A 16,323-nucleotide genomic window follows, 5' to 3' on the forward strand; every position below is an offset into this window, starting at 1 on the left:
TAAATTGTACCTGGGGCCAGGTGCGGTCCCTCACGCCTATAATCCCAGCACTTTGGGAGGCCAAGGTAGGCGGATCACCTGAGGTGAGGAGTTTGAGACCAGCCTAACATGGCAGAACCCCGTCTCTATTAAAAATACAAAAATTAGCCAGGCATGGTGGCAGGTGCCTGTGATCCCAGCTACTCAGCAGGCTGAGGCTGGAGAATTGCTTGAATCCAGGAGGTGGAGGTTGCAGATCACACCATTGCATTCCAGCCTGGGTGTCTCAAAAAAAAAAAAAAAAAAAAAAGTAACTAGGCAGCAGGGTAGACTGAAAGGTCTTTAAAGGCAAATTCAAGTGCCTGCAAGGCTAGACAGCTAATATAGATCAGTGGAGCAGGCTGGGTAGGGAGCAGCAGGGAATGATGGAAGCTGTGGAAAACTGGAGGCACTTGCCCTACCTCAGTGCCTTTGCACTCCCTGCCCCTGCAGCCAGGAATTATCTTCCTCCAAATTAGCTGCTTTCTTGGCACTCAATCAAACAGATCCTTATCCTGTTCTATAGTCCCCATGGTGTTTATCTGTAAGCATGTAAAAGAACCATGCTTATTTGCTTACATGGTTTTTGTCTGTTATATTCATCTCTTTGGAATATAATAGCCAATAACACTCAGTAAGACAAAGCATCGAATATGGTGAAACCCTGTCTCTACTAAAAGTATGAAAAAATGGCCGGGCGCGGTGGCTCATGTCTGTAATTCCAGCACTTTGGGAGGCCGAGGCAGGCAGATCACCGGAGGTCAGGAGTTTGAAACCAGCCTAACCAACATGGAGAAACCCCGTCTCTACTAAAAATACAAAATTAGCTGGGTATGGTGGCACATGTCTGTAATCCCAGCTACTGGGGAGGCTGAGGCAGGAGAATCGCTTGAACCCAGGAGGTGGAGGTTGTGGTGAGCCGAGAAGGTGCCATTGCACTCCAGCCAGGGCAGCAAGAGTGAAATTCAGTCTCAAAAAAGACAAAGCGTTAAACGAAATAAAAGAACAAACTAAAGCAAATCATTCAATGTTTACTTCCATCGAGCAAATCTTGCAATTTAGTTATCTTGCCCTATGGGGTTTGCTTAGGATTGAGGTGCTCCCTCTGTACCAGCTCTGCCACAACTCCAGGGAAATACACAAAGCTACAAATATCACTGGAAGGTGTAAATAATAGAATTGCTCATTAAAGTGGACTGTCAGGATCCAAGGTATGCGATGGAGAGTTTAGGAGAGAGACAGAAATCTATTTTTATTTTACCAGAGTAGGAACCTCAAAAGTATTGATAGAAATATTTTCGAGCTTACCTTAGTTGTTGAACCTCCTTTTTGAAGAAATACTCTAAATTGAAGGGGTGGGGAGAGAGGAGTTGAAGAGAAAACTAAACATCTCAGCAAGAGTTTTAATCTTTTTTTCAATCAAGTGTATTATTTCTGTTATTACTTAGATTTTTCCCTGGTACCTTGAGGTGTCTCCTTCCCATGTCCCTTTTGATTCTGCAGGACCCAAACAAGCCATTTACTGTCCAGTATCTCAATTTCATTAATGGTTTGGTGTATTCATCCACATATCCTCCCTAACTTTAATGCAATTCTTAAATTATCTTTCATTTTTTTAAAAAAAATGAGTAAGTCCAAGATCCTTCTGATAGGCTACTGAACAACAGGCGTCAACCAAGATTTGTTTTAGATGAACTGGGTCATAAAGATACTTTAAGAGTCACCTCTATCAAAGGATACTTTTGCAAGAGTTTGTACTACCAGTCATCTCTCTCCTAAACAAGGAAATAATGAGTTATTTTTGCTTAAGGAGTAAAGTATATTTTGAGGTTGTTAGGGCTCAGAATACAATACCCTCAAATAGGCTTCTTTGGAATTCAAAGTGAGAGCACCTGGGGAGGAGCATATTTAGGAAAGGGCTTTCTCTGAAGCTCCCCTATCTAGCTAAAGGCCAGATCCTCCAGAAGATATTCTGTTGTTGTCAATCCTTTCCCCAGATATCTCGATATCTCATCAATGGCAGGGCGGGGGCGGGGGCGGGTGGGGGTGGTGGGGGAACTGATGCACATCACAGGAAGGAGACTAGAGCTGACAACACATCCAGAGTCCAGAGGAATTTGTCCTGCCCTACAGTCTGTTCTTTGGGCCCATTCATCTCCCCTAAAAATCATTTACTCTTCCTCTAAAATTGTCTACATCCATCACTTTTCTCTCCCCTAAGAAAAGGGTATTTAAGGCCAGGTGCAGTGGCTCATGCCTGCAATCCCAACACTTTGGGAGGCAGAGGCAGGCGGTCAGGAGTTCAAGACCAGCCTGACCAACATGGTGAAAACCCCATCTCTACTAAAAACACGAAAATCATTCGGGTGTGGTGGCACGAGCCTGTAATCCCAGCTACTCAGGAGGCTGAGGCAGGAGAATTGCTTGAACCTGGGAGGCAGAGGTTGCAGTGAGCTTTAAGGGGGCCAGCCCCTCCACACCTGTGGGTATTTCTCATCAGGTGGGACAAGAGACTGAGAAAAGAAATAAGACACAGAGACAAAGTATAGAGAAAGAGCAGTGGGCCCAAGGGACCGGCGCTCAGCATACGGAGGACCCACGCCGGCACTTGTCTCTGAGTTCCCTCAGTATTTATTGATCTCTATCTCTACTGTCTCAGTGAGGGGGATGTGGCAGGACTATAGGGTAATGGTGGGGAGAGGGTCAGCAGGAAAACATGTGAGCAAAGGTCTCTGTGTCATAAATAAGTTTAAGGAAAGGTGCTGTGCCTCGATGTGCACGTAGGCCAGGTTTATGTTTGACTTTACACAAACATCTCAGTGCAGTAAAGAGCAGTATTGCTGCCAGCATGTCCCACCTCCAGCCATAAGGCAGTTTTCTTCTATCTCAGTAAATAGAATGTATGATCGGGTTTTACACCGAGACATTCCATTCCCAGGGACAAGCAGGAGACAGATGCCTTCCTCTTATCTCAACTGCAAAGAGGCCTTCCTCTTTCACTAATCCTCAGCACAGACCCTTTACGGGTGTCGGGCTCGGGGAGGGTCAGGTCTTTCCCTTCCCACAAGGCCATATCTCGGGCTGTCTCAGTGGGGAGAAACCTTGGACAATACCTAGGCTTTCTTGGGCAGAGGTCCCTGAGGCCTTCCGCAGTGCATTTTGTCCCTGGGTACTCGAGACTGGAGAATGGCGATGACTTTTACCAAGCATACTGCCTGCAAACACATTTTTAACAAAGCACCTCCTGCACAGCCCTAATCCATTAAACCTTGAGTCAACACAGCACATGTTTCTGCGAGCACAGGGTTGGGGTTAGGGTTACAGATTAACAGCATCTCAAGGCAGAAGAATTTTTCTTAGTACAGAACAAACTGGAGTTCCTTATGTCTTCTTCTTTCTACATAGACACAGTAACAGTCTGATCTCTCTTTCTTTTCCCCCACAGAGCTGAGATCACACCACTGCATTCCAGTCTGAGTGACAGAGCAAGAGACTCTGTCTCCAAAAAAAAAGAAAGAAAAGGGTATTTAAGCTCCAGTCATCTGGCCCTTTCTTCCATCTCATATTTTGTGTGGCTTCTGTACACATAATAAATATGTATTCATTTTCTCCTGTTAATCTCCTAATAATCTATTTTTTTTTTGGCGTACTCAAGTATCAAAATTTCAGAGGGAAAGTTTGAACTTCCCTGCAAGGTATTTTACCCAATTTCTAAATAACTTTGACTAAGCAAGCTCCAAAATAATTATATAAAAACTTCCTCAAATTTGCCAAACATACTCTTAATTTTCTGATTCTCCTCTGCCTAGACCCATGAACTAAATCAGTCATGGCTTCAAATACCACATCTTGCAAAATAGCTAACTAGGGTTCTTTTATGGGAGGCAGGTTATACTGAGACAAACACACACACACACAGTTAGCAGAAGGGAGACATGAAGCCTGGGGTGGTTGCTTTTTGAAGACTTTTGTTTTACTTTTTTAGTCTGTGTCTTGCTATCAGTTTCCCCTCCCAGTGTCTCATGTGCCTCTTCTGCTAAATGAGTGTTGCAAAATTTTAACAATATCACCCCCACAGGGAAAAAAATTAGATCTTGTAGGGTGGAGAAAATAAATCTTATATATCACAATGGTGTGTTGACTTCCAGATCGCAACACTACCCAACAAACTCCTATTTCTTGATACAGTTGGCCCTCGATGTCCACAGGTTTGGCATCCTCAGTTTCAACCACTCGCAAATTGAAAATTAAAAAAAAAATAAAAATAATACACAACAATAATAATACAGATAAAAACAATACAATATAACAACTATTTACATGGCATTTACGTTGTATATTAGGTGTTCTAAGTAATCTAGGGAAGATTTAAAGTATACTGGAGGAAGTGAGTAGGCTATGTGCAAATACTACACCATTTTATAAGGGACTTGAGCATCTGCAGATTTTGGAATCAAGGGGCTCTGGAACCAATCCCCCAAGGGTACTGAGGAACACCTGTATTTAGTTTTTCTTGGCCTGGCATTGTGGCTCATGCCTGTAATCCTAGAACTTTGGGAGGCCGAGGCAGGTGGATCACCTGAGGTTAGGAGTTTGAGACCAGCCTAGCCAACATGGCAAAACCCCGTCTCTACTAAAAATACAAAAATTCGGCCGGGCGTGGTGGCTCATGCCTGTAATCCCAGCACTTTGGGAGGCCAAGGCAGGCGGATCACAAGGTCAGGAGATCGAGACCATCCTGACTAACACGGTGAAACCCCATCTCTACTAAAAAATACAAAAAATTAGCCGGGCGTGGTGGCGGGCGCCTGTAGTCCCAGCTACTCAGGAGGCTGAGGCAGGAGAATGGCTTGAACTCAGGAGGTGGAGGTTGCAGTGAGCCACGATCGTGCCATTGCACTCCAGCCTGTGAGACAAGAGAGAAACTCTGTCTCAAAAAAATTCTTATAGAATTAAATTTTTTCCATAGGGGAATAATAATTGAAAAATAACAAGTTTAAAAAATAGTGGTTTTAAGTGAAAACTCCACTAGAATGTAACTTCCATGAGATTTATAGAGATTTATGGCAAAAGGATCTTTCTAACTACAATTACAGTTTAAGATTGCTGTGCACTTGTCATGTGCCAGGAACCATTCTCAGTGCTTTTTCTTTTTGTTCTTTTCCTTTTATTTTAGAGACAATGTCTCACTATGTTGCCCAGGCTGGTTTTGAACTCCTGGGCTCAAGCAATCCTCCTGCCTCAGCCTCCCAAAGTGCTGGGATTACAGACATGAGCCACTGCTCCTGGCTGGTGCTTTTTTTAATGGTTTTTTTGTTTGTTTGTTTTGTTTTGCTTTTTTGTTTTGTTTTTGTTTTTTTTTAAGAAATGGGGTCCCACCATGTTGTTCAGGCTAGTCTTGAACTCCTGGGCTCAAGCAATCCTCCTGCCTCACTCAGCCTCCCAAGTAGCTAGGATTACAGGCATAAGACCCCACACCCAGCTCCCATTCTTAGTGCTTTGTAGGTACCAATGCATTTAAACTTCATTTCCCTTCCCCCTTGAGGTAGATGGTATTACCATGTGACTTTTACAAATGAGGATTTGGGGAGACAAAGGGAAGTCGTGTGAAATCAAAATCATGTGACTTATGAAACTAGTGAACCCAGGCAATTTTGCTGTACATCCCTTGTCCCTTAGGAACAATCTCGAAATGACTTACTTTTGGCAATGATGACACCCAAAAGAGCAAGAAGCACCAAGACAGAAATACAGACTCCAGCATAGATTCCTTTAGTGGTATTGGCCGTCAGTAGACTATGTTCTAGGAACAGTTGCTGAGGAAACAACAACAGATCAAAAAAGCATCTTGTTAGAAAGTTATGAAGAGAAAACATTTCCCAGAATCACTTACCCAGCCACATTTACCTGTATTGGTGCTTGGGGACTTCTGGAACATAAGGGTAAGACCAAATGATCTCAGTTTATAACCATACGGTGAAAATCTAGGACAACTTGAAACGCAAAACATATTTTACAATGATGGAGGTGTTTTCTAGCTTGCTTGAGGTTGTATTTACATAGGTGTACACATTTGTCAAAACTAAAACTGTATGCTTAAAATGGGTTTGTATGTAAATTTTTTAATTTACTGTTTTAAAAGTCAATAGGCTATTTCCACAAATACATCCTCTTGTGATATTAAAAAAGAAAAAATGTCAGGCATGGTAGCTCACATCTCTAATCCCAGCACTTTGGGAGCCCAGGCATCCTGAGGTCAGGTGTTCGAGACCAGCCTGGGCAACATGGTGAAACCCCATCTCTACTAAAAATACAAAAATCAGCTGGGTGTGGTGCTGCACGCCTGTAATCCCAGCTACTTGGGAGGCGGAGGCAAAAAATTGCTTGAACCCGGGAGGTTGCAGTGAGCCAAGATTTCGCCATTGCACTCCAGCCTGGGCAACAGAGTGAGACTCCATCTCGAAAAAAAGAAAAAAAGAAAAAAAAATTGTTTATATAAATTGACTTGATGTGATGTTATCTTAATGTGCTCAGTTATTGAATTTTGTCCTTGGTTACAGTCCTTACTTGTCTTTTTACCTGTAATAGAAGATTCTGTCTCTATCTAAATAAATAGATTTGAGAGTAGCTGCACACAGACATGGCCATGATTAACAATTCAACGCTATGCAATCATGAAGAAATGTAAAATTGTTTAAGTCTTCTGGTGCCTATCACAAGAGATCATCACCTCCTGGAATAGGCCTGAAATGTGCCTGGCTTCCTGCTGGTCCCCATTTCATGGCTTAGTTCTAATCCTAAAGAGAGCCCACCGGGAAGGTATTTTAATAGAAGGAAGGGGGAGAATCTGAGTGAAGGACAAATCTTCTCATTTGTAAAATCTTAATCCCTGGAGTCAGAATCCCAGGTCTTCTACTTAGTCACTATGTGACCATGGACAAGCTATTTAGCCTCTCTGAATCTATTTCTATGTCTAGCAATAGACATAGACAGTAGATTCAATAGGGTTCTTTGCAAGGGTACTTTCAGGTCCTTCCTGATAAACACTATGAATATAGTGGAGTAACAGCATTTGAGCCATGCTTGCTTAGAAGCGGCATAGCCAGTGTCTGGGAGTGCAAAACTATGTTGTTATTACTTTACCTACAGGGTGGGAGGGAAGTGTAATGTGGGTAGATGGAGAATGGGGTTTCAGGAGGCAGGCTTTGCTTTCATTTTTTAATTACAACACACAAATACTGCATGCTCATTTTAGAATGTGCAGCTAAGCATAAAAAAGGAAAACTAAAAAAACCACAACCAGGTCACGGACAGTGGCTCACACCCATAATCCTAGCACTTTGGGAGGCTAAGGCAGGAGGATAGCCTGAGCCCAGGAGTTTGAGACCAGTTTGGTGAGACCCTGTCTCCAGAAAAAAATAAAACTGGCCAGGCGTGGTGATGCATGCCTGTGGTCCCAGCTACTTGGGAGGCTTGGGGTGGGAGGATCACTTGAGCCTGGGAGGATGAGTCTGCAGTGAGCTGTGATCGTGCCACTGCACTCCAGCCTGAGCAATGGAGTGAGACTCTGTCTCGAATAAATAAATAAACCATAACTTTAACATCCAGAAATGAGCACTTTTGCCATTTTGCTTTATATACTTTTATAGAATTTTATCCTTCTAGGATTTTTTCTTAACAGAAATAATTACTATATTCTATATGAACTATAGTATATCCTAATTGTATACTATTTTAAAAGTAGCTTCTTTCACTTAATAATGTGTTATAACCAACATATTATAACATTCTATAACCTATGTCAGTAAATGCACTGCAATGACTACATTCTTATGCTCTGTTGCCCAGGCTGGAGTACAGTGGTGCAATCTCGGCTCACTGCAATCTCCACCTCCTGGGTTGAAGCGATTCTCCTGCCTCAGCCTCCCAAGTAGCTGGGATTACAGGCACCCGCCACCACACCCAGCTAATTTTTCTATTTTTAGTACAGAGGAGGTTTCATCATATTGGTCAGGCTGGTCTCAAACTCCTGACCTCAGGTGATCCACCTGCCTCAGCCTCCCAAAGTGCTGGAATTACAGGCGTGAGCCAGCGTGCCCTGCCAATGACTACATTCTTTACGGCAATACGTGCACATGCTTAACTAAGTAATCCCTTACTATTAAACATTTAGGTTGTTTATAATATTTTCATGATTATAAGTGTTAACAATGAACATCCTTCTCATACATTTTTATTTATTAGTTCAATTTTTTCCTTAAGATAGAGCCCAGGAAAGTGACCTACTGGGTCAAAATGTATTCTGCATGTTTTCAAGATACCTGGGAGAAGACATCTTGACATCTTCAGTCAAGGCACAGAAAGCCCAAGTTTCTGCTACTGCCAACCTTGAACCGGCCTCTAAATTGTTTTCCCTTACTTCTAAACATACCTATTCTGTAGGTAACTGAGACCAAGAATAACCTCACCGGCCAGGCGCGGTAGCTCACGTCTGTGGAATCCCAGCACTTTGGAAGGCCAAGGCGGGTGGATCACCTGAGGTCGGGAGTTGGAGACCAGCCTGACCAACATGGAAAAACCCTGTCTCTACTAAAAACACAAAATTAGCCAGGCCTGGTGGCAGGTGCCTGTAATCCCAGCTACTCGGGAGGCTGAGGCAGGAGAATTGCTTGAACCTGGGAGGCGGAGGTTGCAGTGAGCCAAGATCGCGCCATTGCCCTCCAGCCTGGGTAACAAGAGTGAAACTCTGTCTCAAAAAAAAAAAAAGAAAAGAAAAGAATAACCTCACTATCCTGAGGAGTATTTTTTAAATCCAGCACAAATCTAGCCACACGTCAACACATTGAACATATACATGGTGGTAGTTCTGATATTTAGCCAGTATGTCAGATCAATCAGTGCATGCCATACAAGTTGCTAAATGTTTAAATGTTACGCCATGTAATGGCATTCACAATGTCACTAAGGTATTTGGCTCTACACTAAATAGCCCCACTTTGATCATTTTGAATTTTTTATACAATGGCCACGTTGTCATTTCTTACAACTGGCTATCAGAAGGATTATTCTCGGGCCAGCTGCGGTGGCTCATGCCTGTAATCCCAGCACTTGTGGGAGGCCAAGGCAGGCAGATCACCTGAGGTCAGGAGTTCCAGACCAGCATGGCCAACGTGGTGAAATTCCATCTCTACTAAAAACACAAAAACTAGCCAGGCATGGTGGTGGGCGCCTATAATCCCAGCTACTGGGGAGGCTGAGGCACAAGAATCACTTGAACCCGGAAGGTGGAGGTTGCAGTGAGCTGAGATTGTGAAACTGTACTCCAGCCTGGGCGATGAAAGTAAAACCCTGTCTCAAAAATAAATAAATAAATAAATAATAAAAAATAAAAACCTCAGAAGGATTATTCTCATAACCTCAGACTTTTTTTGTTTGTTACTTCAAAAAGTTACTTGCACATACTAAAAGGCAGATTGTTTCTTACAGGAGCCAAAAGAAAAGATCTTATTAGTAAATCTATCTAACTTACATGGAGGTAGAAGACTTTGATGAGCATCATAAGACTAAGTCCCTTAAATTTTTCCCAAGTTCACTGAGAAAAAAAGTATGGAAACATTTTACAGAATCAAAGTTATTATCTAGGACTTTGTTATCTTAAAAAATCATCCTGGGCCGGGTACGGTGGCTCACGCCTGTAATTCCAGCACTTTGGGAGGCCAAGGCGGGAGGATCACTTGAGATCAGAAGTTCAAGACCAGCCTGGTAAACATGATGAAACCTCATCTCTACTAAAAACACAAAAATTATCCAGGTATGGTGGTATGCACCTGTAATCCTAGCTACTTGGAAGGCTGAGGCAGGGGAATCACTTGAACCCAAGAAGAGGAGGTTGCAGTGAGCTGGGATCCCGCCAGTGCACTCCAGCCTGGGTGACAGAACAAGACTGTCTCAAAAAATAAAAAAAAGAAAGAAAGAATAAAAAGTCATCCCATGGGGAGGTTTATGTATAGAAAAACATCAATAGACATTTTAAAATTTCTACATAAAATGGTCATTAGGTAGGGAAAATATATTAGGAAAATAAACATATTATGTTCCTTTCACTTACATTTTACTTTTGTTTGGGGCAGCCTCTACTCCACCCCATCAAAGCATGCTGTTTCCCTATTGATAATTGAATTCCTCCTTGGTGTGTTATCTTAACTTGTTCTCCTTAAATTAGCTCATTCGGGCCCGGGCGCGGTGGCTCACGCCTGTAATCCCAGCACTTTGGGAGGCCGAGGCGGGTAGATTGCCTGAGGTCAGGAGTTTGAGACTAGCCTGGCCAACATGGTGAAACCCCACCTCTACTAAAAATACAAAAATTAGCCAGGCGTGGTGGCGTGCGCCTGTAGTCCCAACTACTCTGGAGGCCGAGGCAGGAGAATTGCTTGAACCCAGGAGGCGGAGGTTGCAGTGAGCTGAGATCGCATCACTACACTCCAGCCTAGGAGACAGAGTGATGTTCTGTCTCAAAAAATTAGCTCATTCTTTCTTCCCCTATTTTCTCCCAACAGAAAGTCTGTGTACTATGTATCTAAGTACGCTATTCAGTAACATAATCTCTTTGGGCATCTCTGACAAACTGGGTCACCTAAATGAACTTTCCAAATTAAAGCATCCCGAGGCGGGCGGATCATGAGGTCAGGAGATCGAGACTATCCTGGCTAACACGGTGAAACCCCGTCTCTACTAAAAATACAAAAAATTAGCCGGGCATGGTGGCGGGCGCCTGTAGTCCCAGCTATTCGGGAGGCTGAGGCAGGAGAATGGCCTGAACCCGGGAAGCGGAGCTTACAGTGAGCAGAGATTGCACCACTGCACTCCAGCCTGGGCAACAGAGCAAGACTCCGTCTCAAAAAAAAAAAAAAAAAAAATTAAAGCATCCTATTTAAGAGTGAAATTATTTTCTTCAACTTTTTTTTAAGAAGAAAAAAAAAATTCTGTGGGCTAGTCTTACAGACATAGTCTTTAAATGTAACTTGCTTCCAAGGAGATATACAAGTGAATCTGGCTAATCAAATAGGGCGGAATATGCTTACAGTTTGATTGTTATTCCAAAGGCCATCTGAAGACTCTGTCACGGTGTCATTCCCATCTACTCAACAAGAAGGAAATTTAATTAGAATTACAAAAAATATTGAATTTTCACTGCAGACACTAAATATATTCACATTACCTTCTGGCGATGAAAAGTTGAATGATAATATGACCAAATTCTGCAGGCACTGCAAGAGTCATACCAAGTTATTAATGTTATATTAATTTCTCCTGTAAAGTTGTATTTCTTAACCTTTCTGTCACCGGCTCTTTGAAAATGGACTCTTGTTTTTTCTTTATTAAAAAAATAATGCATGTGCACACACATGAATTTTATCTACTATTTTAGGGTCATCACAGAAGCCCATTCATGGAACCAGGTTAAGAATGCCATTTAAAGGCAATCAATACTTTTATGCTATCTAAACAGCTGTAAATGAATGGTCAGAGGCATGTACATCCAAAAACCAGAACCACCCTTTTCAGAATGGACATCATATTGGTTTTATATTCAGAAGGAGTAAAATATGCTGTAATATCAAAAACAGGTGGCATATAACTCCTGTGTTGTTGCCGATGTGCTTACATTTTGATCTAGAAGTGCTTTAGAAAATATGGCAGCCACCAGATCAAGCATATTATGCCATATAAGGATTAAGATTTTATGTAATATATAAGATACATTTCTCTTAGAGTTGAACATTTAAAAATTTCAACATGTTTTAAAATATCTGCTTTGTAATAGACAGTATATTCTCAGCCAGGCATGGGTGGCTCATGCCTATAAACCCAAGCACTTTGGGAGTCCAAGGCAGGCGGATCACTTGAGGTCAGGAGTTCAAGACCAGCCTGGCCAACATAGTGAAATCCCATCTCTAACAAAAAATACAAAAAATTAGCTGGGCATGGTGGCACATGCCTGTAGACTTAGCTACTCGGATGGCTGAGGTAGGAGAATCCCTGAACCTTGGAGGCAGAGGTTTCGGTGAGCTGTGATGGCACCACTGCACTCCAGGCTGGGCAACAGAGTGAGACCCTGTCCCCAAAAAAGAGTATATTCTGTTGGCCTTCCTAGACAACTATAGGTCAAATACAGAACTGACTTTTTACTGAGCATCTACCATGTAGTGAACACTTTACCTTCTAACAACCAGTTAGTTCCTTAATCCCATTTTTATGGATAAAGAAATACACAGGAAATGGTTAAACGATGATTTCTAATTAAGTGACAAGAGCCTCTGCTGATAACCTACACAACACATTGCACTTCTATCAAATGGAAATACTTAGGTCTATGAAATTCTGTAACTGGTGACAATGCTATAGGGCTCAACATGAATAAACTTGGACTAATATCTCCCCAACATTTACATTACTGTGTTTACATTTTACTGCTTCTGAGGCTTCCTAGAAAGCCAAAGGCAAGGCCAGGCACAGTGGCTCATGCCTGTAATCCCAGCACTTAGGGAGGCTGAGGCAGGCAGATCCCTTGAAGTCAGGAGTTCAAGATCAGCCTGGCCAATGTGGTGAAACCCCATCTCTACTAAAAATATAAAAAATTAGCCAGCGTGATGCTGCACATCTGTAATTCCAGCTACTTGGGAGGCTGAGACACAAGAATTGCTTGAACTCAGGGGGTGGAGATTACAGTGAGCCAAGATTGTGCCACTGCACTCCAGCCTGGGCAACAGAGTGAGACTGAGAAAGAAGGAAGGAAAGGGAAGGGAAGGGAGAAAGAAAGGACGAAGGAAGGAAGGAAGGAAGGAAGGAAGGAAGGAAGGAAGGAAGGAAGGAAGGAGAAAGAAAGAAAGAAAGAAAGAAAGAAAGAAAGAAAGAAAGAAAGAAAGGAAGGAAGGAAGGAAGGAAGGAAGGAAGGAAGGAAGGAGGAAGGAAGGAAAGAAAGAAAGGAAAGAAGAAAGGAGGAAGGAAGGAAGGAGAGAGAAAGAAAGACAAAGAAAGAAGGAAAGAAAGAAAGAAAGAAAGAAAGAAAGAGAAAGAAAGAAAGAAAGAAAGAAAGAAAGAAAGAAAGAAAGAAAGAAAGAAAGAAAGAAAGGAGGGAGGGAGGAAGGAAGGAAGGAAGGAGAAAAGAAAGCCAAAAGCAATATGTAGGTTTATGCAATATATAGAATCTCAGCCCTGTTTGTGACAGGTATTATGACCTTAAGTAACAGTTTCAGGAAGAGGATGGGGTGATGCAGAAAAACAGCACGGACCGGAGTCAATAAAATTTCAGTTCAATGCTGACAATGTCTGTTAGCAATGTAACTTTGATACTCAAGGTCCTTTTCATACACACAGTTATGTATGTATGTATAGGTATATAAAGGGGTGTGTGTTTATGTGTGTATGTGTGTGTGTGTATACAGTAGTGCCCCCTTATCCACAGGGGATATGTTCCAAGACCCTCAAGTAGATGCATGAAACCAAGGATAGTACCAAACCCTATAGAGACCATGTTTTTCCTAGATATACATACCTATGATAAAAGTTCAATTTACAAATTAGGCACAGAACGATATTAACAGCAATAAATAATATAATAGAAAAATTATAGAAATAAACTGTAATAAAAGCTATGGGAATTTAGTCTCTCTCAAAATATCTTAGTATTTGAGGAATATAGTTGACTGCTACAGAAAAGCAAAACTGCAGATAAGGGGAAAACTACTATATATATATTTCTAGCTACAGTACGCATGAACTACAACCTATTAATAGTACACAGCCCATCAAGTTGTTACAATTAAATTAGATGATGCATGTAAAGTGGTTGGCACTAAGCTATTATTATTATATAATGGGAAGAGGAGTGGGGAGGAGGGAGGGATAGATACTATGCAATGCACTTTCCAAATATCATATACTCTAATCATTCAAAGAGGAATGTTCAACAATTTTCCTGTGGGCACAGAACTAGTAACTTATAGCTGAAATGGGAGTTGTGTGTCTCCAGAGCAGATTTATAGCGCCTCCTCAATCTGGCAATAGCATTAAATATGGCCTGCCTTGAAAGAATTAAACAAGATAATATATCCATTTCCTGGCACATACATCTGTCAAAGGTGGGTAGTGGGCCATATGACAGCTCCAATCCTTTCCAGATCTAATATTCCTTGCTTCCATGGGCTTTAGGCAACTGAGGGCCAACCCAGGCACAGTAAGAACTTGGCCCAAGAGCCTTGGATCCACGGCCAAAATGGCAGCAGCCACACAAATCCTGGGGATACAGCTGCTCCACTGTCTGTTCCACCTGGAAAACTCTACTTTGACCAGGTTTCACTGACATAGTATTTCGGAGAATGATTCCCCACTCCTACTTTCTTCCTCCTTACACTCTCAAAGAGTGGGGTGCAGCTGCTCCTACCACTGTTACGTTGTGTTTTTATCTATTTTCATTTTGCTTTTGTGCCTGGAAACAGTTTGCGCTGAGGATTACACTTTCAAAACGAAATGTCGCCATTATCTAATCCCAGTTGAATGAGTCCCTCTGTGAATCACACTGCAGGTCCATTTTAAATTAACCAGCTACCAGGAATGATTGGCAAAAAAAGTAGGCCATGTAGGCTGGGGAGCAGCTGCCTACAGATTGGCAACAGCTGAGTACAATGAGTCATACACACAAGGAGGCCTGCAAGGTGTGACCTTGCTTGGATGCCACACAAGGACACAGAGCCAGCTCAGCATCACAGAGGAGCTCAGCACAGGGCACTCCCAGAGCTTACCACTAAGGGAAACAAGGAGAGTTAGCTGGGAAAGATGACAGGTTTCAGCATCAACTTTCTCCATCACAAGGAAAGACAGGTCAATTCTACACTTCCAAGGAGCAGAGACTCTAAGAGGCCTGTTCAGACTTGAAAGAATAGTAAGGATTGTTTGGAGCAGAGTAGCAGGATCTCAGAGGGTCATGCCTCTTTGATGTTGGTGTGGGTGTCCTCAACTCATCTGTCTTAGTCTGTTCAGGCTGCTATGATAAGATAGCTTAGATTGGGTAATTTAAACAGAAATTTATTGCTCACAGTTCGAGGCTGGGTAGTCCAAGATCAAGGCACAGGCTGATTACTCAATCTAGTGAGGGTCCTCTTTCCTATAGATGGTGTCTTCTATTTGTTCTTATATGGGGGAAGGGTCAAACAAGTTCCCTTGGGCCTCTTTTTGTTTAACTAATTAATTTATTGTTTCTCTCCCATCCAGAAAATGTAACTTGGGCCTTTTATAAGAGCATTGATTCCATTCATGAAGGCGGGGCTCTCATGACCTAATCATGCTCCGAAGGCCCCAGCTCTTAATACTTGCATTGGGAATTAGCTATCAACATGAATTTGGGAATTATCTATCAACATGAATTTAGGGGTGTGGTGTTATGAGATTATACATACATATATAGATAGATAGAGGTCTGTGCATGGTTCCTGGCTCATAACTCCCATATCCCTGATTATAGTCTTTTCTTATCATGGTAAGTATGTTTGACCTCAGGAAACAATATTGGACTTTCTCCTGCTCTCCTTTCACCTGACAAGGCAGAACTTTAATTTCCCCCGCCTTTCTGATTGTGGGTCATAAGACACTTCCCAGAGAGAGTCCTTCCCTGTGCCCCTGGGGGATGGAATGTTGATGTCTTGAAGTTTCCATAAAAACCCAAAAGGCCTGGGTGCGGTGGCTCACGCCTGTAATCTCAACACTTTGGAAGGCTGAGGTGGGCAGATCACCTGAGGTCAGGAGTTCAAGACCAGCCTGGACAACATGATGAAACCCCATCTCTACTAAAAATACAAAATTAGCCGGGCAGGATGACGCATACGTGTAATCCCAGCTACTTGGAAAGCTGAGGCAGGAGAATTGCTTGAACTTGGGAGCAGAGGTTGCAGTGAGCCAAGATCATGTCACTGCCCTCTAGCCTGGGTGATGACAGAGCAAGACTCCGTCTCAAAAAAAAAAAAAGTACAAGAAGACTAGGTTTTGAGAGCTTCCAGATAGTCAAACACTTGGAGGTTCCTAGAAGGTGAAGTTCCCAAGGAAGAGCATGGAACCCTTTCCCATATACCTCATCCTGTGCATCTCATCATCAGTATCCTTTGCAATATCCTTTATAATTATCTGGTAAACATAAGTGTTTCCCTGAGTTCTGGAAGCCACTCCAGGAAATTAATAGAACCCAAAGAGAGGGTTGTGGGAACCCCAACTTGAAACTGGCCGCTCAGAAGTTCCAGAGACCCGAACTTGTGA

At 42.5% G+C, this 16,323-nt stretch overlaps 1 protein-coding gene across 14 annotated transcripts in view; it reads right to left on the bottom strand.

Annotated features, from left to right (window-relative positions):
* HAVCR1 (hepatitis A virus cellular receptor 1) overlaps positions 1-16,323 on the bottom strand; it is a 39,995-nt gene that overhangs the window by 2,115 nt on the left and 21,557 nt on the right. For 8 of the 14 annotated variants that reach the window (XM_024446023.2, XM_024446021.2, XM_024446020.2 and 5 more), the window contains 2 exons: positions 11,100-11,155; positions 5,720-5,834 (listed from right to left, as the gene is read on the bottom strand). In XM_024446023.2, the coding sequence (XP_024301791.1) occupies positions 5,720-5,834; positions 11,100-11,155 (171 nt within the window). Of the gene's footprint in view, positions 1-1,326; positions 1,361-5,719; positions 5,835-11,099; positions 11,156-16,323 lie in introns of all 14 variants that reach the window. The other 6 variants (XM_047417097.1, NM_001173393.3, XM_047417096.1 and 3 more) reach the window with 1 other exon arrangement.

Source organism: Homo sapiens, chromosome 5 (assembly GCF_000001405.40).
Source record: "Homo sapiens chromosome 5, GRCh38.p14 Primary Assembly".
In the NCBI taxonomy this organism is placed as follows: domain Eukaryota; kingdom Metazoa; phylum Chordata; class Mammalia; order Primates; family Hominidae; genus Homo; species Homo sapiens.